Below are 24,864 nucleotides of genomic sequence, written 5' to 3'. Positions count from 1 at the left end.
TATTCTATGTATTTTTACACTGTGAAAAACTATTGTCAAAAGGAGGAAATACTTTGCAGTTTTTTACTTCCTAAATTTATAGGAAAAGTCACTTTTTAAAAGTTTACTTTTATAACATTTTAAGAAAGCAATAAAACCCACATTTCCTCCCTTGTATTCTACTTTATGAATTCTCTCCTGAAATATGATCTACTTAAATTTCACTTACCTCCTTTTTTTTTCCTTTTGATAATCTGTAGTAGATATTTGCATTAGATTGCTCCTGAAATGTATGACAATTGGAACATTAAAATGGTTCCACCTCCATTTCCAAAAATTACTCATGCAACTTTGATGCATCTGCAAAGTTAGGCATTCAGTGATGATGCTTGCCTGACTTTTAATGTGAAACATTTGAGTGCAAAGTTAGATTTTTCTATTTATTTATTTTTTAGAGACAGGATCTTGCTTTGTTGCCCAGGCTGGAGTGCAGTGGCATGATCATAGTTCACTGCAGCCTTGAGTTCCTGGATTTAAGCAAACCTCCCTGCCTCAACCTCCTGAGTAGCTAGGACTACAAGGGTGCACCACCATGCTCAGCTAATTTTAAAATTTTTTTTGTAATATGGCTGGGCACGGTGGCTCACACCTGTAATCCCAGCACTTTGGGAGGCCAAGGTGGGCGGATCACATGGTCAGGAGATCGAGACTATCCTGGCTAACACGGTGAAACCCCGTCTCTACTAAGAATACAAAAAATTAGCCAGGTGTGGTGGCAGGCGCCTGTAGTCCCAGCTACTCAGGAGGCTGAGGCAGGAGAATGGTGTGAACCCAGGAGGCGGAGCTTGCAGTGAGCCGAGATTGCGCCACTGTACTCCAGCCTGGGCAACAGAGCAAGACTCCGTCTCAAAAAGAAAAAAAAATTGTAACAACAGGGTCTGTATTTCCCAGGCTGATCTCAAACTCCTGGCCTCAAGCAATACTCCTGCCTTGGCCTCCCAAAGCACTGGGATTACAGGCATGAGCCACCATCTCCCACCCCAGATTTTTCTATAAACTAGCAATTGCATAGGTAACTTTAGAAGTACATTTGAAAAATTCGATAACAACATTAAACAAGCTTTTTATTCATTGTGAAATGCTTTCAGTAGTGACTGAAAGTTACTTTTCTCTCTCATTGTGTAAAACTAACACAGTGCAACTCAATAGAATGTTTTAGGATGATGAAAATGTGCTATATATGTGGTGCTTGATAAGGGAGGTGCTGGTCACATTGAACAGTTGAAGGTTGTTAGTTTAACCACGGAATTAATTTTAAAATTCTTATTTAATTGTGATTACTTTAAATTTAAATAGCCAAATATGGCTAGTGGCTACCATACTGGACAACACAGAACCAATAGATGTGGCTTGTTATCTATATACTTCGTTTCATTGAGATGGAACCTTTGTTTGTATTTTCATTTACCCCATGTGCGCCTCAATTTTCTTACCTAGATGAAGGTGTAGACTACGTGATTTCTAATATTGTTTACAGCTGAAACTTGTCTGACTCTCCTCTTTATCCCAAAATATCACATTCTTTAAAACCAGCTTTATCACAGATCTAAACATCAAATCTAATAATATGAACCTTTAATATCTGTAAGAATTATCCTATATGTTTGAGTTTTATACAAAATCTTTGAAGTCAACATTATCATACTACTTTTCACAAAGGTGGCAGAAAACATTTTCTCTGAAGGTATCTTTGCACGATTGCAATTACATAAAAAATACTAGCAAAACCTTCTACTTAATAGCTCACCTAACCTTCCTTTCTCTCTTCTCTCCACCCCAGAGAATTTTCGGTGATGTTACTGAGCTCTCCTAACAATAGCAAGCATAATGCTTCATTTGTTTGGCATCCCACCCTCTGCTAGATGTTATATTAAGATTCTTGGCTGGGCGCGGTGGCTCACACCTGTAATCCCAGCACTTTGGGAGGCCAAGGCAGGCGGATCACGAGGTCAGGAGATCGAGACCATCCTGGCTAACACGATGAAACCCTGTCTCTACTAAAAATACAAAAAATTAGCTGGGTGTGGTGGTGGGCACCTGTAGTCCCAGCTACTCTGGAGGCCCAGGCAGGAGAATGGTGTGAACCCAGGAGGCGGAGCTTGCAGTGAGCCAAGATTGTGCCACTGCACTGCAGCCTGGGCAACAGAGCAAGACTCCGTCTCAAAAAAAAAAAAAAAAAAAAAAGGTTCTTGTTGCAGGTGTGTGTCTCAATTGTCTTTGCATCTCCAGCTCCTGGGAAGGAAGATGCCTGGCCAGTGATGAGACCAATATACCAATGATGTTAATTAACATTTACTAAGAGCTCATTATGTACCAAGCATTGTGCTAAAGGATTTATATTCTCACTTCTCACTCACAACATCTATGAGGTAGATACTATTACAGTCTCTGTTTAATAAATGTATGATAAATGGACAAATAAACAATCCAGAAACTTGGCTTTTTCTTTTCCTGGAGTTTGACTTGTGCATTACAGAAAGATGAAGAGAATTTATCAGCAGCTTTTTCTACAATGACAAGCCTTAGCAGCAGTTTTTCTTCACTGCAAAATATGTGTGTCTACCTAATATTTTTAACAACTAAGGGTTCAAAGAGCAACACTGAGAGCTATAAGGAACCAGATTTATTCATTGACATTCACACTGGACTGGAGCTCATTGCTTACTCTCTTTTTCTGTACCTTTTACTCTCAGCAGTTGTCTTAATCACTTGGCATGCTCCTAAGCTGGTTCAGTACTCTCAATTAAATTACAAGATGAAAATACAAGTTGTAAAATCTACAGGTTTATTTTGTTTTGATTTGTTTTACTTTTTTAAATCTCTTAGACTAATGTGTGCCTATTGAGTAGTGTTTATTTTTTAATGAAAACCTGCTTACACATCATTAATTTTTCTCTGAGATCGTTTCTACTAGTGTGTAAGATTCGTGAAGGCAGGAACTTTGGCTTGCTCATCCCTGCGTATATCCCCAGGCCTTGGAAAAGTGCCTGACATGTAGACAGGCAATCAACATTAGTTACATAAATAATGACCGAAGTTCTAAATATTTACATGGCTGCACTATGTTCCTCTGCCTCACTTTTTTTTGGTGCAATTTTGCCACCTTTAAAAAAGGTTATTATTTACACAAAGTAATTGTATTTACATAAAATAATCAGAACATGGAACAAAAACGCAGCATACAAAATTGAAAGTTAAAAATTCTTAAAATGTCAGTTATTTAAGTAGATTCAGATGTGATCACAGAAACTTTTCAGTGGTTAACCAGAGGTGTATATCAGAATTATCTGGAGGAGTTCTTTAAAACTATAGAGGCTCAGGTCTTTGTTCAAGAGATGCTGATTTAGTGAGTTCAGGGTATAGTCTGAAAATCCACGTTTTCATAGAGAATCTCAAGTGATTGTCTTTTACTTTTTCCTTTTTCAGGCAGCTGTATGGTTGTATTAGAGGAAGCAGGCTATAAATATGCACACATATATATTTATTTTATATATATATAAATTTCTCCATATATATGAATAAGTTTCTCTATACATATGTCTCTCTCTCTCTATATATAAGTCTCTCTCTCTCTCTCTCTATATATATATATATATTTGTCCTTTTTGACTGAATGATTTCACTTAGCATAATGTATTCAAGATTCATCCATGTTGTAGCATGTGTCAGAATTTCCTTCTTTTTTAAGGCTGAGTGAATATTTCATTTGTATGTATAGATTACATTTTGTTGATTAATTCATCTCTTGATGGACACTTGTATGCCTGGCTTCTTTCAGTAGGCATAGTGCTTTAAGATTCACCCCTTTTATGGCTTGTATCTGTGGTTATTTGCCCAGGTAATTTTGATAGTTCTCAAACTCTGCTAGCCATATGAATGCTGAAATGCCCAAACTTGGAATCAAAATTGTTTTGGGTTAAATATGTGTGTATTCTTTCCTTCTCTGGTTGATTCTTGACCAGTTAGGTTACTATTTGTTTCTCAGTGGTAAGAAATTTGTATCACTCTTGAGGCATGTTCCATGACAAGGGCAAGGAATGGATCATGGTAATAACTTACAGTTGTATAGCACTGACCATTGACAGTACTCAAGTACTCATTTTCATGCCTATTTCCAGCATCATCTACATCAAAGGCAATTCCTAAGAAATTGGTAATTAAGTAGAATTTTCTTCCAATAACGGAGGAATTTGTTTTTTGTTTTTGTTTTTAATAGAGATGGGGTTTCACCATGTTGGCCAGGCTAGTCTCGAACTCCTGACCTCAAATGATCAGCCCACCTCGGCTTCCCAAAATGCTGGGGTTACAGGCATGAGGGTATTTCTATTTTAAAGAGGTTTCTAGAGGATTGGAGAACTCGCAGGACTAAAAGATGTCATTTTATGCTTTGTGTCATATAACCCTCTTATCAACATCTTATAATGACCTCTTATATATCATTATCCCCACCTTACCTATGAGAAAGCCTAGACCATGAAGGATTAAGTAGTAATGTGCTTAAGGGTCGCACAGTTGGCAAGTGGTAAAACCATCATTTGAACCTAATTCTTCTGATCCAGTTTCACTGCTCATGGCTTCCTGTGCATCTGTTTGAAAGGTACAAGGATGGCTCCCATGACAGAAATTAACTCACCCACCAGCCCAGCAGGGTGCCTGAAATGCCTGAAGTAAATTGACATCTTTTGGTCCTGAGAGTTCTCCAATCCTCTAGAAACCCCTTTAAAATGGAAATACTCTACAGATGAGTTGCAGTGACAGCAAATTCACCCAGGGGGAATCAGTTTATAGCAATAAAAACAACAGCCACTTATTGAACCTGCTCTTACATACATTAGATACCTCACTTCATTCTCAAAATAATCTTTTGAGGTCAGCATTATTATCCCCATGTAACAAATGAATAAACAGTCCCAAGAATGCTTAAGTAATTTCTTCAAAATTACACTGCACATAGCTGGAGGATCCTGTTTCTTAATCTCAAATCTGCATATGTGTATAGATAGTGCTTTTCATACCACCTCTTACCAGACTTTTTTCCAATAAGATGCTGAACAGGGGAGATGAAAGGTTGGGACACCTTGAGGCAAATGGCTGGGAAAAGGAGTCAAGTTGGACTTCGTGTATAAGTGTGTCTGGAGCTGGCTTGAATTACTATTTATGAATGACTAGCTATAAAAAAAAGTTATAAAGTCCTCTCTGTTTTTTTATTTTCACTCTTTTTAAAAACATCTCCCTCTACAATGAATTCTTTGCTTGCGTAGAATGTGTATTTGGCACTTTTTTCTTGGTCTATCCAGGGAGTATTTTTGAAATGTTGTTTCTTACTGAGCGCCCTAAGGAACTGATGATATTAATCGTGGTGAAGAAAGAACAAGAATATAAGATTCACGCTGCTCTTTGATTAAAGCTTCTTAGATAGAATTTTACCTCAAGAGCTTTGTTGTCTCAATGGCCTCCTATAGGTATTTTTCTGAGCGGTCTCTGAGGGTTTTGTTTCCTAGTTCCCTGTAATACTGCCTGTCAGCTTCCATGCTGCATGTATTTCACTTCAAAAGAGAGCCTGGATAATTTGCCTATTTCTGCATTTTAGAGCAGAGTCAAACAATGCCAAATGGGCTATCACGTGTTGACAAGAAGTCAGCAGGAAAGGCTAGTCAGGTAATCATCAAGTTGATATATTTGAGACACTGTGCGATGATTTCAGCTTTGCATCAACTAAGTACTCTCCCTGCACAGTGGGTATCTATTAATCAGGTGGAGTTCAACTCAGGGTCCCAGTTATGCTGTTTGTTGTCTTAGTGCCTTAAATAGGAATATGTGATATAAGGCTCCATTATAGGAGTAAAACTCTACCTAACTACCAATTTCTTAAGAATTGCTTTTGATGTAGATGATGCCGGAAATAGAGTGCCTTTTGATCCTTCTGAATATTTAAGAACCTTCATAAAAAAGATAAAAATTTAGAAAACTAGTTTACTAGAATTCAATGACTCTTTTGCTGAACCAAAATAGTTTTATATATTTACAACTATTTTTGATATATTGCCCTACATTTTGCAAATAATTTTCTCAGAATATTCAAACATTTTTAAGTGACCTTTACTATGTACCTTTTGAATTTTAAGCCTTGGTAAGGAAATTTCTACTGAAAAACATAAAAGTTTTTAAGTTGTATATGCTTTTCCTAATTGAAAGGCATATGTTAGATTGCTCTTGATATGTGATGCTAGAAAGCTCAAATTGTAATTCTTTCTAAAAATATTTCTACTTCAGAAGTGTTTTGTATTTAAAAAAAATCATTTAATTTATTGAACATATTTTATTTTACATATTTCAGTGGAAAATCACATCTTCCAGAGAAAAAATCAATGATATTTTATTTGCTTTCCCCAGACTGAGTTTAATGACAACCCAAGATATATAAACTTATATCCTGGCTGCTTTTCTTAAGAGATTTCCAGCAAAAGTAGCCACCTAGGCAAATTGCTTATGCCACACAACTAGACTCACCCCATGGATCAAGCTTTGAAACATTGCATCTTACTGCTCATTTTATAGAATATTTTCTTTATTACCATCAAGCAGTTTTCTGGAGAGAAATATAACAAATGACCCAAAACAATGTAAACCTGAAAATCGATAGCTGATTGTTAATAATACGATCTAAAAGAGAGATTTCAGTTACTTTGTCTCATGGACCAAGAAAGCAGGATAATAATGTTAAATCCTTTGTGTATTTTTTTTCCTCTGGTTATCAAGGTTTATTTTCATTAGCTGGTCCCATTTGATTAAAAAAAAAAAAAAAGAGCTAATCCTGGACAGAGCTGCTTACCAAAAAACTGAACCATAGTAATGGAAAAGTATTAATATAAACTAGGATATTTCCAAAATGTATTCACCTAAATGTCTGTTTGATATAGGCAAAAATAAAAACAAAACACAAAAACCTCACGTATTATTTTAGTCACATATGTGGTTGGGCGCCAGGGAATGGGTGTGGTTAGTTGAAGCCCCTGTAGAATAAGAAGCTATAGACTGAGAGAAATGAAAGAAATTGATAAGCTGCCTTGGGAGTTTCAGTCTGGCCAAAATGCATCCTTGGCACACCCTGCATTCCAGGGTTCCATATTCCCTCTGAGGTCCAGGGCAGGTCTGACCTGGGTTGGGACTCAGGAGCTGGGATTGTATGGGGTTGTCAGCCCAGTCATTTAGTGCAACATCAGGAAGAACAGGGGTCTAAGGTATCAGGTCCATGGTGGTTGTCAGTCACAGCAAGAGCTGGACAGAAAGGCAGGGACTGCAATGGGAAAAATCAAAGCTAGGGAGTTCAGAAGCATTCCAGAGGCAACTTGAAACCACGGGAGGAAGATCTTTATGGCAAGATACCTCTTGGTGGAAGGGAGATGTTAAGGGCACTGCCAGCTTTGACCTCAGCCTTAGAAAGTGGATGTGATAATGATCATGGTAAAGATCAGTGAAAGAGCTGGTATCCTTATATAATTCTTGAAAAAAGAAATACATGGAGCAACAGTGAATTCTCCTCCGTAGTACATCCTGAGAAGTTCACAGGGTTGTAAAATCTTGGAAGAAAAAAAAATTATCTTGGAGTTACCAAATACCCCAACATATGCAAAGAATTATTAAATTTCCAAAGTAACATTTATACTTGCAAGTGAGTATGTGTTCCATACAGAGTACATGTTAGCCAAAGATTCATAGCTATAGGACCCACTTGTCTGGAAGGCAGGCTGAATTTCTGAACTAGGCATGAAGCAGGTCAAGTCATGGATTAGCATGCTGAATGGGATTGTGGATCTATATGCTTGCATTCAAAAAGTGACTTGATTGGAAAGGAGACCTTATGTTAGGAAAGACAAAAAATGGACCTTGAATGTGTGGCTTAAAAGTTGGGATTTTATTTAATTGGACAATTATTCATTTTTATTTTCATTTTCTTGATACTTTTTAAAGAATTATCCTCTTGGGTATATACTTTGTTCAGTTTTTAGTCAGACATCTCTTAATTGCTTTTGGACATTCAAATTCTGAAGTGGGAAAACCTCAAGCGATTTAGTGTTGGCTTAGTTTTCTCATTTCTACAATGAATGTCTTGGGCTAGAAGATATTTGAGGTCTCTTCCAACTTTGAGTGTTGAGCCTGGGCAGTGTAAAAACAATCTGTATGGCTGGGCGCGATGGCTCACGCCTGTAATCCCAGCACTTTGGGAGGTCAAGGTGGGCAGATCACCTGAGGTTGGGAGTTTTAGACCAGCCTGACCAACATGGAGAAACCCCGTCTCTACTAAAAATACAAAATTAGCCCGGTGCGGTGGCGCATGCCTGTAATCCCAGCTACTCGGAAAGGCTGAGGCAGGAGAATCGCTTGAACCCAGGAGGTGGAGTTTGCGGTGAGCTGAGATTGCACCATTGCACTCCAGCCTAGGCAACAAGAGTGAAACTCCGTCTCAAACAAACAAACAAACAAACAAACAAAAACTATCTGTATATACACTTGACATTGAAATAAGAGAAAAGTTTTCACTGGCTTAATGATTCAGTATCCAACAATAAATATCACTGCAGATTGGAAGTTCAGAGTATCAAATGTTACAATCTTGTTTAAAACAATAATGTTATGACCTACAAGTCATCCCTGTGTTCCTTGCTTCTGTCCTCACACTTTACCTATAACACACACACTCCTCCAAGGTAGGGAAGGTGGACGTGGTGGAGGCATAGTTGGTTCTTCACACTGCAGTGTATTTGTAACATATGTTAACAGAAGGGTAGGTTTCACATCCTAGGTGAATTATTCTCTTCCAATCTTGAATTAACAAGGATTGCTATGAATGTAAGAGGGAAAATCATTGAAATAAAAATACCTAATGCCACAATTGTTCCAAACTAAATGTAATCTACCACCCTGTTGAAAATTTAGAATTCCAGAGATTTTCTAACTGGATGCCATAAATACCTTCTCTCTTGGCTCAGAATTCCCTGGGAGTTCTGAAACTTAGCCCCACCCCATGAGGGTAGAGTTTATGTTATTCACACTTGTGTCTCCAGACCCAGACAAAATCTACTGAAAAGTAGGATCTCACTAAATTGTGTGATAGGTGAATTAATGAATGCTTATGTGAATGATGAAATGTTTACGCACAGCCCCCAAAGGTCAGCCTCAAAGGATGATATGGGTATCCTGCAGAGTGGCTCCTGAGGGCTCCAGGTACCAAAGCATGACTCTAAGGGCTCATCACACATTCTGGAAACTGTCAGCTTAGCAAGGCTGGCTAAGCAGAGTGACAGACAATCCCAGCTGGACCTTCCCTTCAAGTATTATGCAAGACAGGTTCATCCCCAGGGACAGGGGGTGATGTCTGGACTGGGTCAGGGAAGAGCCCCAGTCTCGACAAGGAGCGAAGCAAGGGCATAGAAGGTAGCAGCGCCTGGCATCTAGCACCCAGGTGGGGCCTGGGACAGGACTTCCAGCAGGAAGAAGGTAGGACACGCTGTCAGAACTAAGATCTAATATTCATTAACTCCTTATCACCCAAAATTGTATTCCCACCTCCAAAATGTTATTTTTAACTTTTGCTAAAAATAAACAAATATACAGATAAATAAATAAAAATAAACATTCAATTTGTTTTATGGCAGATATGCTAAGGAATGATGTGATAATAACAAAATATTGGAGACAACTTAAATATTCAAATACAGTGGTTGTTTTTTTAAAAATATGGGAAGCCATGCACTAATACTATACAACTATGTTAAATTATTTGTAAATATTCTTTTAACATGTGATTAAGTGAAAAAATAAGGTAATAAATACTAGTATTGTATTTTTTATAAAAAGAAAATTTTATTTATCTACAAAGAAAAGGGTTTGGAAAGTCACAAACCAAGATATTACCAATTTTTTTGTTAGGTAATTAGATTATACATTTTTCCTTTTTTTGCTTATTAAGAAATTTAAATTTTTCTTTAATGCAAAAAATATGTAAAAGAATTAACAGGCAGTAAATTTGTCCTTGATGCACTGCATTACAGAAAGAACTCTGAGTGGAATAAATATCACCTGTCTTTTGGACGTCCTAGGAGTTGAGTTGACACTGTGGTGGTTGCTTGTGTTAGGTGGAGTGAGCAATATCACAGAAACCTCCCACGTGGAGATTTCTATTGTATTTGAAAAGCTTAGAACACTGTTATGTGATGTATAAACTGTGGGTCAGAACAGTGATACAAAAATAATAAGAGTACTTTTGCTTCAAGAAATCCAACTTAATTTAAAGTGACTGGATTCCGATTTATAAGCCTGAGGTACATTAGAGTTTGAAAGTTTTTTGTTTCCTTTCAAATGTACATTAATATTTGGCTCAATGCTCATAGGGAAGCAATTCAGCACCAAAGGTGCAATTATTCTTCCAGAATGCTAAAATCAATTTAGCTGTTTGGCTTATAATAAATGCTGAGTTATATTCTCAGATGCCAAAATTCCTCCAATTATAGGTGTACATTACTGGGACTTCTGAAAAAAGAAATATGTAAGACCTCCCTTTTTAATTCGTGGAATTCAAGCCCTAAAGAAAAAGAACAAAATCCTCTTAAAAATAAGAAATTTCTACCCTCACCTATACATTTGTAAAACCAATTTGATCGCTGCTTGTATTTTTAGAGAGGATTTTGTTATTTTTCTCTAAGAGTATCCTTTTTTTCTCTGTTAAGTATTTTTAGACTCTGCTGAAAAGCAACTTTATATCTTCCATGTGACTTACTAGAAAGGTTCTCAAATCATAGCCTATAAATCATTAATGTCCCCTGATTTTCTATAACTATTTTCCAATTGAACTGAAAAAAATGACCAAAATAATCACATAAAGAAGTATTTTTTGTGTGTGAGATAAATCTGTTGTTCATTTTACACACACACACACAAACATTTTTAAAATGTAAAAACAGTATATGTAATCTCAAAGTTAGATATGAAAGGCATCAAAGTATGGTTGAAAGAATACAGACATTGAAATCATAGAAGATTGACTTTCTGTCATAGTTTGGACAATTACTGTATAAATGTAGGGCTAAATTACTTCATTTCTCTGTACCTCAGTTTCTCCTGTTTACTCCTATCTAGAGGCTTATAGTTAGGGGAAAAAAATCAGGTAAAGGTACAGTCATAATCACTAATGAATACTAAATATTTAATAAATGCTACTGGGGGCTTGTCTGTTCATTGTTTATTTGGGGTTTTTTTTGTTGTTTTTTGTTTTGTTTTGTTTTGTTTTGTTTGAGACAGCATCTCGCTCTATCACCCAGGCTAGAGTGCAATGGCACGATCTCGGCTCACTACAACCTCTGCCTCCCAGGTTCAAGTGATTCTCCTGCCTCAGCCTCCTGAGTAGCTGGGATTACAGGCACATGTCACCACACCTGGGTAATTTTTGTATTTTTGGTAGAGACGGGGTTTCATCACGTTGGCCAGGCCGGTCTCGAACTCCTGACCTTGAGATCCACCCACCTTGGCCTCCCAAAGTGCTGGGATTACTTCTTTATTGTTTATCTCTCTTGCTTTACTGTAAATTTCCTGAGGGCAGGACCGATGTCCTCTTTGAACCCCAACATTTTGACATAATTTCTAACTCCCAGTAGTTACTCGATAAACATTTGTTGAATGAATTGGTGAAGCATGTAGTATCCAGCAAAGATTGAGGGCTCCTAATCAGGATTATTTGTGACATTATTGTAATTGAATATGCTAAATCTTCCCATCCTGCCAGAGTTCCAAACCCTTTTAAAATTTATAATTAGGATATCACAAATATCTCTTCTCTAAATCTTTCATATTCGCTTCTCTAAAAGCTAGAGTGCAATTCTGTGTGCAGTGCTCTCCCTATGTTGGTTGCTACTTAATCTCCTAGGTTTTTCATGTTGTCCTTAACATTACACAGTTCTTCCTTATTGAGGCAGTTTAATTTCAATTTGCAGTTCCCCTCACTGCCTCCCCAACTTTTGAAAGACCACATTGTTGGTTTTAAAAGAAAGGTCACATTATTTTCTGGAAGTCAAGAATTTATCAGATTCTGCCATTTTATCAGAACAAAAGTTCTGTCATCTATCAAATGGATGAGTCTCCCAATGGTGGTCCAACCACCATGCCAGTGTTGCCATCTGTGTAAGGAAAGACTTTGGCTGACTCACCCCTATGAAATAACTTCTCTACTGTCTTGTTTATCGTCCCTCAGGCACTTTGCATTCTACTTTTCCCTTTAGGTTTGTGGGCATCCATTCACTGTGTGCCTCTTCTTATGCTTTGCTATTCTTACTCCTTTAGTGCCTTCGTTCTTTTTGAATCAGGTGAATTGTCTCATAGGGACAGTACATGTTATGCTTTGATTACAAACAACCCTGCAATCTAAGTGGTTTATAATATATGTTTTTCTCTTTCTCATGCTACATATCCATCATGGCTTGGGTACTCCTGTGTTCCTCTTGGTCTTAGTCCAGGACCAGACAAACAGAACAGCCACTATCTGGAGCATTCCCAGACACCAGACATGGTGGCAGAGAGAAAGAGACCCACATTTCACACCAACTGTTAAAGCTCTCACCTAGAGGTAACATGTGCCATTTCTGCTCATGTTTTATTGGTCAGAATAGTCCTATTCTACTCCTGTCTTCTAAAGGGGATGGAGAAATACTCTCCTACCACCTGTCAGAAAGAAGAACTGTAAACATCTTGTGAAGAGATTAATGACTGAGACATATACCTTTCTATCAATTCATTTTGGTCATGAGGCCTGTCCCACCTGTGGGAGCTCATATTTACTTCCATGTTTTAAACTTTCAAATTTACTTTATTTGTTCACTATATATTCTTGAGTAGAGAAATGAGAATAGGTAGTCAAGATAATGGTAAATAATGGTAATAACCCCATATAATTGCTTTCTTATATATAGATTGTTTATAATGCAGTTAACTCCCATCCTTAAGAAATACATAAAGTGTTTGAGAATCACTGGTCTCCAAGAAAGAACATCAGACTCTTAAAGACAAAACACAGATTTGCCCTTGTGTCTCTTCTTTGTATTACCTGCCTGACTATATATAGATCAGTGGCTCCTTTCTATATGCCATTTTTTTTCCGCTGAAAATTATACCTAGCTGTGACTTATGTGGAAGTGGCTAAGCTGGCAATAATTGTATAGATGTCCATACATGCCCCCTCAGAATCTCAATGGTACCTCAAGGTCATCTGCCTTGAGGACTGGTAAATCTGGTCATAATGTGGATAATTTACAACTGGAGAAATAAAGGAGTTCTCCTTGCTATGCAAAGAAGGCCTCTTTGAATGTTGGTGTCGGCATTAATTCCCTTTATGATGTGAGGCAAATCACTTAATTGCTAGGTGTCTTCTTTTTCTGATCCAAGGATAATATTAACATACCTCTCTAGGTCCTTGTGAAGCATAATATATAGAATTGATTGCAAAGGCATTTTCAGAATATGAGACACTATAGAGACATTTGTTGCACTCTGAATTCCCTACGTTGCCCACAGTGCCACTCCTAGAGGTAGATGTCTGGATAGGGAGTGAATATTTGAGGGAAGGGGTAGTTATACAGGGCAGAGATGTCTATTTCTGAATTCCCAATTAGCCTAAGTCAGTAATCTACGTTGTGGATTATATCTGGCCTGCTTGATGCACTGATCTTCCTCCTTTAGGCATTTTTCTGGTTTCTTTTTACTTGGCAGAGGAGATAAAATTCAAATTGGTCTTTTTTGCCTGGTATAGTATCTCTAGGAAGAAGTTAGATTGGATGGCCAATTTATAAACAATACTGACAGTTTGGGTTTAGGGTTAGAGTAATAGCATACTTGTTTAGCATTTAACTCTTTTGAAGTGCTTTCACATCATGGATCATTTTACCTGAGACTTGCCATAACTTTGTAAGCTGGGTATTACCCTAATTTACAGAAGAGAAGACTGAGGTTCAAAAGATTCCATATGTTGCCCAATGTCACCACACTAAGAAATGACAAATTCAAACCCATATTTTCTGATTTTGCGTGGAGAAATATTTTGTTCCATTATTCCAGGCTACCTCTGTGTTTTCTAGCAGAGATAAGTGATGCCCAGATATAAACCATGATCACATGGAGCCAAGACAGGGTTGAATGAAAAATTAGCCCAAAGGAACTTATTATTTGCAGTCAAATTCAAGATATTTTGCCTAGAAAGTAAAAGGAATGAGCTATTTCTTCAACATTAATTTTAGTATTCTAATGAATTAAAATTAATTCAGTTAATTAATTAGTTATTTTCCACCAGAGGATTCAGCCGGAATGGGGAGGGGGAGGAATTTTGAATTCCTGGTAAAAATGATGACTTGATTTCTTGATGATGATATTAGCCAATGACTCAACTTCCATCTCCCCTTCCCCTATAATAATAGGAATAAGGAGAGTTGATTTTCATGCATTCATTATTCAGTTACTACCCTTTGCCAAGAAGCGTTAGTCTAATGGATGAAGGGAGGGGGAGAACAAATAAGTAAACAGATTATTATAATACAGTAAGTGCTAAAATGTAACAAAGGATGGCACCAAACCCAAAAGGAAGGGCAGCAATTAAGGTGAAGTAAGCCATTACTTAAACTCATTAAGTAAGAGTTAGGTCAGTGGTGGGGGAAAATGGAGATCTAGCTGTTAGGGCAGAAGTTCCATTAGTTCTGGATGGCAAGAGGATGGGGAAGGAGGTGGGAAGTGGAAGGCGAAGGGCAAAGTAAAAGGTAAGCAAGGGTTAAACCTTGAAAGATATCTATGGCCTGCTAAGAAATTTAACTTTATTCTTAATGCTCTTGGAGATACTGCTGAAACTTATAAAAATAGAAAGGTCTGTGGGGTAAATGGATTTGGAGACCTAGTAAGTTTGTCAGCTGACTCAAAAACACTTCAGGCTGTTAGTAAAATCCAAGCAAGAAAAGACCAGGTAAAGAGAGGTTATGGTCTTTGCTGCACATCATTTAGCCCATAACCTAGGCAAACTAGAACTGGGGTCTCCTAATTCTTAGGCTGGCATTTCTTTCTCCCATCCCACATTGCCTTCCCATCTCTTTGGCATTTTTTTCCTTTAGAGAATTGTATTCCTTTTGGAATATATGCTGAGATGCTAGAATATCTTTAAAGGTAATCTCATTCTCCATTAAAAACAGATATTTATCATGGTGATGTTAACATTTAGACAGTTCTTACCAGCAGTCTCATTCGTGTGATCTCATTTGGTTTTCTTCTGAGAACGCCAAAGTCTTTTTACTCCTGTGGGTAAAAATAAAGATACCCTAAATTTCTCTGGTGGAATACTTTAAACTTCAAGCAGTGCCTTTTCTTTATATTGTAGTTTGGAGAATAGAGCAAAAAAAATTGTTTTATTTTATGCTTTAGTATCAAAAAATAACTGCTCATTGTTAATGAGAATTATAGGGCCAGTTCAACTGCAGTGATAAGTTCAGGGCATAAAAGATCATATATCAACATGACCTCACTAACCTTCTCTGTACTAAATGACAAACTGCTAGGAATAGCCTTTGGATCAGGCCACAGAGACACTAAAATACTTACCCTTCACCACAGAACTGTATTGAACTCTATCTGTCATTTACCACCGTCAATCATAGAAGCCTGCTTGGATGCTAAACAGGATTTCAAACAAAAAATAAAAAGAAAGAGAACTTCCTTCAAATAGTTCAACTTCTGATTTTATTTAGTGTCTTTCTGGACATTTGAAATAATGTGGGGAAGGATCACAGCAAGTTAGCCATGTTTTTTGCATTTGTGGAGGGATTGTGTATAAGGGAAAGAGCAAGATTTTCGGGCCAGTGGGATTCAATCTGGCATCTATGCTTCTTTCCCCTTCCATAAGAGGTTAACACTATGTCATTGTTATAATGATAGGACAGATATGTGACATTATTCTTTTCTTTATAGCAGGACTAGACCAAGCTAACAGAGACTTGGTTAGCTTTTTAAGAGAAAGAGACTCATGTAATTTAGCCAAAAGGTTCTGAGACTGCTAACTTCATGCTAGACATACTTGCTGCAAAAACTTATTCCCCAAAATTCAACTAAATGCCATTGTTTCTTGTTTGTAAATGTGTCTATGAGAGACTTTTATAGTTTTCTTAGAAAATCAGAATTAAAAAAAATTATCTTCAGGAAAATGAACATACCCTTCAACCACCATCAACCACTCTAAAATTCATGTGTTACTTTCATGCCTTTTTCATGTGAGACAGAAATATATGGGATGGCATAAAAAATAAAATATATCCTCATATAGGTTTTATTATTATCCTCATAATTTGCCAACTGGGAATTACTGAGATTCCACATTGTACATAGCATTTATGCACTTGATTTCGGGACCAGGACTCTGGTCGCTGCAGAAAAAATACTGAACCATATGAACACTGTCCTTGCATTTATAAAGCTTATGAAGATAATATCAAAGGTGATTTGCTGAGTGAATTAATGAAATCACATAACCTTTGTGTTCACATAACCTTTTAACACAAAAAGAGTGCATTTTCCTATGACTGAGTCTAAATTACAGCAAAGCAACTGATCAATACGATTTTTTTAAAAAGTAACTTGCAGTTTCAACTGCAGCATTTTCTTTAAATATTTTTGTCCTCTAAGTAATATATATTGCTTCATTTAGATATTATACTATGATTAATTTAGTCAAGAAAGGAAAAATCAAAACATAAATATTGTGCCAATCATAAAAACATATGTGTAATAATAACAAAATAGACCTAATATCTGCACATAATCAGATTTTAAAGAGCAGTTTTGTAAGTAGGAAAAATGTGTGACTCTATATTGCCAATGACTGAGGCCTCCCAGCATTCCTGTTTTTGCAAATCATGCTGTAAGAGATCACATAATTATATGATCCTATTGGATCTTCAGTAGCTAAGACTCTGTTGAAAAGTTCTGAGAGTTCTTATGTCATTACCATCAAGAAAACTTTAGTAACATCCTATTCTGTAAATCAGAAATGGGAGGGATTATTCCTCCACTTACTGCTAACACTTAAAAGTAACAGCACAATGGATAAAGTAGAAGGTGAGTGCATTGCTAGGCATGGAGGAAAGGAAGGCCTCAGTGAGGCAAGAAATATTTGTGACTCCATAGAAAATACATCAGTGAGTCAAACTAGTCATAGAGAACCTGCTACATGTTTGGCACTATAGTGGTTTAAAGAACTATAAATTGTTTCCACCACCCAGGTTATTCCATTTTAGTCTCAGAAACCAAAGCAATGCATGTGTAACAAATGCAGAGAAAGCCCACAACTTGTCATTGTAATGGCAGAACAAAAATTAAAATATAAGCACTCTCAGTTAGGTATAAACTATTCATTTGAGGTAATTATCACTGTCACTAATCCTGTCACAGAATCAAAGTAGAAACAAAGAAAGATGGGTAGGTACTGCAGCTGGCCAGCCTGATTTCTAATGATAACAATGTAATGATACACAGGCATCCTACTTTCATACTACTTCCAAGGACAAGTAAATGATCACATAAAAAAAAAAGACTTTGACAGTTATCTTGCCCAAATCTTTCTTCAACCAAGTTAACTCTGGAGTGTTAACTTATAGACTAGCGTAAGAGTAGTCATTAAAAAAATTATTGAAACACTATATGCCAGGCATTCTGGTGGGGGCAGGCAGATAATAAATGGATGGTGTTTTAGCTAATGGATCAGTGAGAGTTTGGATACTGATATACGCTATGAGTAATTTAATAGATCAACTTTAGGCTTGCTTGGCTAGCATTAATGAAGTCTTCTTAGAAGAGGTGACACTCGAATTGAAACATCAATGGAAAGAAGGCAGCCATCCATTGAAGGAGAGGAAGATCATTCCAAGCAGAAGGAATAGCAAATACAACTCTCCTGGGTGGAAACAAGCCTGTTTAATGTGAGGGAGAGAAAGGGGGCCAGTGTGACTGGAGTAAATGAAGGGAAAAGTTGTAATAAGGCTGGAGTAAACAGGTGTCCAGTTACATATATTTTCGTAGCGCATGCTAGAGTTTAGATTTTTTACTGGTTGCAGTGGAGATAATTTTGAAGATTATGGGTGAAGAAATAGTTTAATCTACACTTTAGAAAAAATTACTAAGGCCATAGAACAGTGGAGAGTGAAGATAGAAAGGTTATTGCATCCATCCAGGTGAGAGATGAAGAAGAACTGGACCAAGCTGTAGCAGTCTCATCTCTAGATGACAGAAGTAACTGGACTCAGGGCATCTATGGTGTAGAGACAACAGGAATTACCAGTGCCTTTGGATATGGCATTTGAGGGGGAAAGTGGAATTAAGACTTCAGCATATTTTGCCTGAGCTACTAAGTGTTACTGCCATTAGGGAGGCCCCTGAGATGTCAAGAGGGGTGGGATCCAGGACTCAATGGAAGAGATGGGCTTTCAATTGGCTCATGGACAGTTCATCTACTACTATAACATGTGGAAGACAGAACACCTGTGCACCAATAGAAACATTAGGAAAATGGCAGGAACATGTGGTATTTTCCAATTATTTATCATTGTTTTTTCGGTAAAGTAAGAAGCATAAGCTAAGAGTTAATTGAGGAAAGGCAGTGATGGAGATTTGAGGAAAGAAAAGTTGTAAAATAATTATCTTGGAGGAGAAGGAGAAGTGTGGTAAGATAGTCTGGAAAAGTCAAGAGGCCAATTTTGACATGTAGCCATATTTAAAGTGAGGTCAACTAGCATGGTGGTATGCTTTTTGCAATAATCAACTCTGTAGATGCTGGCAGAGAGTAAGTAGATAGTTGAATTTAACCGTGGGCATTAGTTTTCTATTGCTTTTATAACATACTCAGACTTAGTGGCTTAGGGAACACAAATTGATTACCTTGCTACAGGTCAGAAGTCCAAACTGGATATTACTGGGCTAAATTCAAGAAGTCAGCAGGGCTGCATTCCTTCTGGAGGCACTAAGGAAGAATCCATTTCTTTGCCTTTTCCAGCTTCTGGAGCTCATCTCTTGGCTTTGTTGATCCCTTGCATCTTCAATGCCAGCAATGGCTGCCATACCTCTGCTTCTCCCTCCTCTGCCTCCCATGAGATTACACTGGGCCCACCTGGATAATGCAGGACAATCTCTCCATCTCAATGCCAGCTATTACCAACCTTCATTCCATCTGCAACTTTAATTCCCCTTCGCCATATAATCTGACATATTCACACATCCAGGGATTAGCTCGTGGCATCTTTAGGTAGCCATTATTCTGCCCAGCTCACCATGGTTGAGGTTTTGCCAAATGAAGAGAATGGAAAAGAGTGACAGTGTTTATGAGGGATAATTATACAGCGGAACCATGGACTCCAAGCCAAGGAGAAAGTGAGGTTATGAGAAGGACGGCAAGGAGGAAACACACTAGTCATGTAAAGGAGTGATGGGTCTCAAGGAGGTCAGAAAATTTCTGGAGTGGAGTACTGGAATCAGTGAACTGGATGAATAGGACGTGACGGTTGAGGCAGGAGGTTTCAAAATAGGATTTCAGAGATGTAAAGTTGTTGGAGATGGCAAGGTTTTATGAGTTTTGAAACTGAAAAACCCAAGAAAATGAGTAACAAGTCATTTTCCTCTAAAATAAGTCAAATACCTAGCATTGGCCCCAAGGTTATGGTAAGGTTCTAGGGTGCTTATTTTTTAATAGAATATGCACAGTTTATTGATTCCTGAAAAGTAAACCCAGCTTCACATTCTGTTTCTGGCCCCTAGACCTCTATGGAGAGGAAGTTATTCCCCAGCACTAGTTATGTGAGAAGTAGGGAGTGCAGTGCATAGAGAGGGAGTTCTGTCACCCAGGGAGGCAGAGGCCAAAAGACCTAGGCAGGAGACCCATGCTCTGTGTGAGGAAGATAGGACATTCTGTTTGGGGACTACTAAATGGCTTAGAAAATGATATGCAAATGTTTCCACTAAAGTGTGGTAGAGTTATCTGTGATGTCTTTATGGCACCTAGGGAACATTTAGCATTTAATTTGCTAAGGATGTTCCTATTTTGAACTTAAAACTGTTTCAAGATGTATTTTGCAATACAAATATGTGCCATCTCATTGCACTGTTCATTGAAAGATTTCTCTCTAGTGTACTATGCCCAGAAAGCATTGAATTAGTTATGCTCCATTGAAACCAGTACAAAATGGACTGAGAAGTTTATAGTTTCTATGTCAGATTATTAAAATAACATTTTCTTCCAGGCCCATGCATATACTTTTTTCCAAAGCAGTAAAAAACGATAGTTTACTAAAAATAAGAGGTCAGGTTTGCATATTCTCTATACTTTGGGGGTGAATATGAGTTGGATATGAAATCCAAATAAAACTAGAGGATAGATTAAATGGTGCATGATGTATTCCAAGGTCAAGAATTAATTAAATGTAATTTTCACAGTGATATTCTTAGAAAATAGGAAATTGCCCTATGCTTTTTGAAGAGAATGAAATTTGGTTGTTTAATTGTTAGAAAATAGTACACTATACATATTTTAAATATTTTGTCAAACTAATTGAAGCCACTACATTATAGAATATGCAAAAACAAGTTGCAGTTTTTAAAAATTCATGTGATTAATTCCATGACACTTTTAATAGCCTCACCTGTCTCATCCCACATCATGCCCTTCATTTACTCTCTTATATCCACTCTCCCCAAACCCTTCTTTCAACTTTTCAATTTTCTAAATATCCTATAAAGCCTAGCTCTTCCACAGAAAGTCCTTTGACTGTAAGACCCAAACACTATTCATTTCTGATTTCTTTTGGCCTTGGGTTTAGTACCACCATTCCAAAGCAAATGGCCTCTACTGGCTAGTTTTCACATTTAACAATTTGAGGTTTGTAAGGACAAAACTGAATTCTTACATGGCTCTTCTCATCCCTACAGAACCAGCCTGGTCCTGGGCACAGAGTCATGCTCAAAAGCATGTTTCATTGATTGATTTAATGGATAATTAATGCATGTCTCAACTCACCACCCAACCTCCAGCACACTCTAGCTGCCTTTTAATAAACATCTAGTATGAAATTCATTTTGTGATGGCAGTGGTGACAGTGGCAGGGAAATAAAATAATGTATAGACTCTAGGCCACAGTTACATATTTCATCAACAACAACAATTTTAATTACTTTTTGACAGATTAATTTGAAGTAGGCTAAGGGAAAATCAAACCAATTCTCTAATAAGCCCTCATCTATCAAAAAGTCATCCCAAGAGGTGAATATTTTGTATGTAAATGTGTGTATATGTAAATGGCATCACTGTAGTCCATCGTTTCTGGGTCCCTGCCCTTGAGGAGCTTACAGTAATTCTGGTTTGAAGAATGACATGGCATGTTGAGAGAGAAATCATTATATTATGTCCATTTGACCATTATATAAGTCCAGCTAAGTTGGGATTTTTGTTTATGTTTTCTGCAGTTTCTCCTAAAAGGTAAGCACCATGAAGGCAAAGACTATGTCTGCACTGTCCCTTGTTGTAGCCTTCATAGCTAACACAATGCTTGCATATAGTAGGCAATAAATAAATATTAAATTAAGGCAGAATTGCTATTTGACATAAAGAAGACTGGGGAGTGAGAAAGGGAAGGCAGTCAGTACGCTCTAAGACTGCAAAGGTAGCACACACTGTGGTAACATGGTGTATTATCTACACCTCTCATGAACAGCAGCCATGGACCAGGTCCTCCCAGAAAGGAGAGCGATGAGGGTCCAGGGATATCCATTACCCAGGAAGCAAGACATGGCCAGAGAGGAAGGGAAGGAGTGCTGTGCTGCAGCCAGACAGCTGGAGCTCATGAACACCAAGTATCTGTTAAGACTGGCCCCGGGGAAGTCCAGCCTTGGCTCCAGAGCTACTGGATTTTGGCAAGGAAGGTTTTTAAATTCTTGGTCCCACTGAACAGGCAGATGGAGGTGAGCTTCCCCAGCCAAACTGGGCTCCTGAGCTGTGGATCTGAAGGTAGAGCCCCTAGGGGATTTCACCCTGAGGAAGAGTCCTCAATGGTCAGCAATTTTGCTCTTGGTATGAAAAAATAATACATAAATGCATATATATATATATACACACACACATATAGATACAAACACCTTCCGCTTAAACCTTTAATCAGTGCAAGGGTTGCTTCTGTTAGGAGAGTAGTGGAAGACTTTCAGATACATTTTTTTTTTTCTTGAGACAGGGTTTCACTTTGTCACCCAGGCTGGAGTGCAGTGGCACAAACACAGGTCACTGCAGCCTTGACCTCCCAGGCTTAAGCAGTCCTCCTGGCTCAGCCTCCTGAGTAGCTTGGACTACAAGCGCCTGCCACCACATCTGGCTAACTTTTGTATTTTTGGTAGAGATGGGGTTTTGCCATGTTGCCCAGGCTGGTCTCCAACTCCTGAGCTCAAGCCATCCACCAGCCTCAGTCTCCCAAAGTGCTGAGATTACAGGAGTGAGCCACTGTGCTTGACCAGTTACATTTTTAACAGCTTTATTAAGGTAGACTTGACATATAATAAATGGCACATATTTTAATTGTACAATTTGATAAGTTTTGACATATGTATATACCTGTCACTACAGTCAAGATAATGAACATATCCATCACCCTTTCCCCCTAAAATGTCCTTATGCCTCTTTGTTATCTATTTGTGCCAGTTAATGTTTTATTACTTCTCAGCTCCAAATGCATTTTTTGCCTGCTCCATGAAAATGGACCTAGGTCCTTTAAATATTTTCCCTTTGGAGCTGTCAGCATGTTGAGCTTTGTCGGTAGAGGGCGCCGGAGAGATATTACCAGAGGAAAGGGTTTCCCTTCTGGGTTCCAGTGTGTGCACTGGACAGGCTCTTCTAGGGGCCGGCATCACCAGGTGGCCACAAGCTCCCTGCAATACGTCCTCGGGCATTTTCATAGGTGAGTGCCTCTGATGAGACACGTTCTATGAACAGCTCCTCTGGCACCCTAGAAAGTGGATTTCAAGCAACTTACACCAGTGCTGCAGCCAGTTCCTTTGCTGTCTAGTTCTGTATTTCAACCTTATTGAGGCGGTGGCAGAGGGGCGAGGAGTGGGACTTTTTCTCGGGTGCTCTGCCTCAGCATTCAAAAGCGTAGCTGCTCCTTATAGCTGCTATTCCTGTAGAGTTCTCTTTACCCCTGGTTGCTCCAATCCCTTGTTATAGTTAGTAATTCTTTATATTTTCTCTGTTTTAATTACTGTACAGATTCCCTCTCTTGACTGGACCCAGACTGTATCTACCTTCTCATATATCTATATTTACATGCACACACGCACACACATCTGTTTATATCTGTATACCTATATCTGCCTTCCCATGTGAATTTCCCTATGAATTTTAGAACTCCTATCAATTTCTACCCAAAAAAGCCTACTGGAATATTGAGTAGAATTACACTGAATCTATAAATTAATATAAGGAGAAATGACAGCTTGGCAATATTGTGTTTTCTAACCCATAAACAAGTTATACTGCTCCATTTATACATGCATCTTTAATTTCTCTCGATAATGCTTTTTAATTATCAGTGTACAGGTTTTGCATATTCTTTGTCAAATTTATTTCCTAAATACTTCACACATTTATGTTACTGCAATGACATTGAAATTCATATTGATCACTGCTAGTATATAGAAATACAGCTGAGTTTATATGCTCAACTTGTATTCTGCAACCTCACTAACTTATTCTAGTAGCATTTTTATAAATTCCATCAGTCTTTCTATGTAATCATGTCATCTGCAAACAAAGACAGTTTTACCACTCCCTATCCAATCTGTCTTTTCTTTTTCTTGCCCATCGCACTGGCTGGAACTTTCAAAACAATGTTGAGTAGAAGTGGTAAGAACAGACGTTGTCTTCTTCCTGATTTTAGGAGGAAAGCATTAAGTCTTATTAAGTATGATGTTAGCTGCAGGTTTTTTGGTGATGATCTCTATCAGATCAAGGAAATTCCCTTCAATTTCTCATTTGCTGAGAGTTTTCATCAGAAATGGACGTTGGATTTTCTCAGATGCTTTTTTAGCATCTACTAAGGTGATCATATGGTTTTTCTTTTTTAGTCTGTTACTCTGATAAGTTACACTATTTGATTTTCAAATGTAAAACCATCCTTGGGATAAACTCCACTTGTTCATGATGAATTATTTTTTAAATGTTTTTCTATTTTTCTTCTCAAAAAGTTAGAATATAAAACTTTTGGGAAGGGGAAAAAACAGCGAGGAAAATATGCTGATGCCTTCTTAATCTCTTACTCAATTTTAGTAAGTAATTTGAGCTTTGGGGAAGAATAGAATCTATGTTTGCTTCCCATTACTTCTCAGTATCATTTCCAACCCAAGTCTTTTTGTTCAGTTTCTGAGATGGGCTTAATGAATTTTTTTAAATATACCATTTGTTGGTCTTCTAATTTTAGCATCAGAAACAAAGTCTGAGATGTGATAAAATACATAACAATCTTATAGAACTTATATCTTACCTGGTAACTTTTCTCCAATAGAACTAATATTCAGGTAGTTTTTCCTTGTTAATTATTTTCTAGGAATAGATGATTGTATGTGTTCTCAGAACCTTGTCTTGATTTTCAACTTTTATACATTGTACCTTGCATTTCATAATTACCTTGAATAAGTGATTTCAGTAATGGTATAAGCTTCAGCTCTAAACCAGCAAGGAAGTTTTTTCAAAAGGAAAGTTTTAACTTCATGTTAAATATTCTCCCAACT

At 37.6% G+C, this 24,864-nt stretch overlaps 1 protein-coding gene and 1 long non-coding RNA gene across 12 annotated transcripts in view; one reads left to right on the top strand and one right to left on the bottom strand.

Moving 5' to 3' along the window:
- The window catches only part of HDAC2-AS2 (HDAC2 and HS3ST5 antisense RNA 2), a 371,029-nt gene that overhangs the window by 209,255 nt on the left and 136,910 nt on the right, over positions 1-24,864 (bottom strand). Inside the window, exon 6 of the long non-coding RNA NR_125845.1 lies at positions 15,295-15,357. This is a non-coding gene — a long non-coding RNA (HDAC2 and HS3ST5 antisense RNA 2). The remainder of the gene's footprint in view (positions 1-15,294; positions 15,358-24,864) is intronic.
- The window catches only part of HS3ST5 (heparan sulfate-glucosamine 3-sulfotransferase 5), a 287,428-nt gene that overhangs the window by 211,549 nt on the left and 51,015 nt on the right, over positions 1-24,864 (top strand). The gene's annotated exons all lie outside the window — the stretch shown is intronic.

This window comes from Homo sapiens, chromosome 6 (assembly GCF_000001405.40).
Source record: "Homo sapiens chromosome 6, GRCh38.p14 Primary Assembly".
Taxonomy (NCBI): Eukaryota; Metazoa; Chordata; class Mammalia; order Primates; family Hominidae; genus Homo; species Homo sapiens.
The sequence above is the reverse complement of the archived record's forward strand: the minus strand, read 5'-3'. Positions and strand labels throughout refer to the sequence as shown.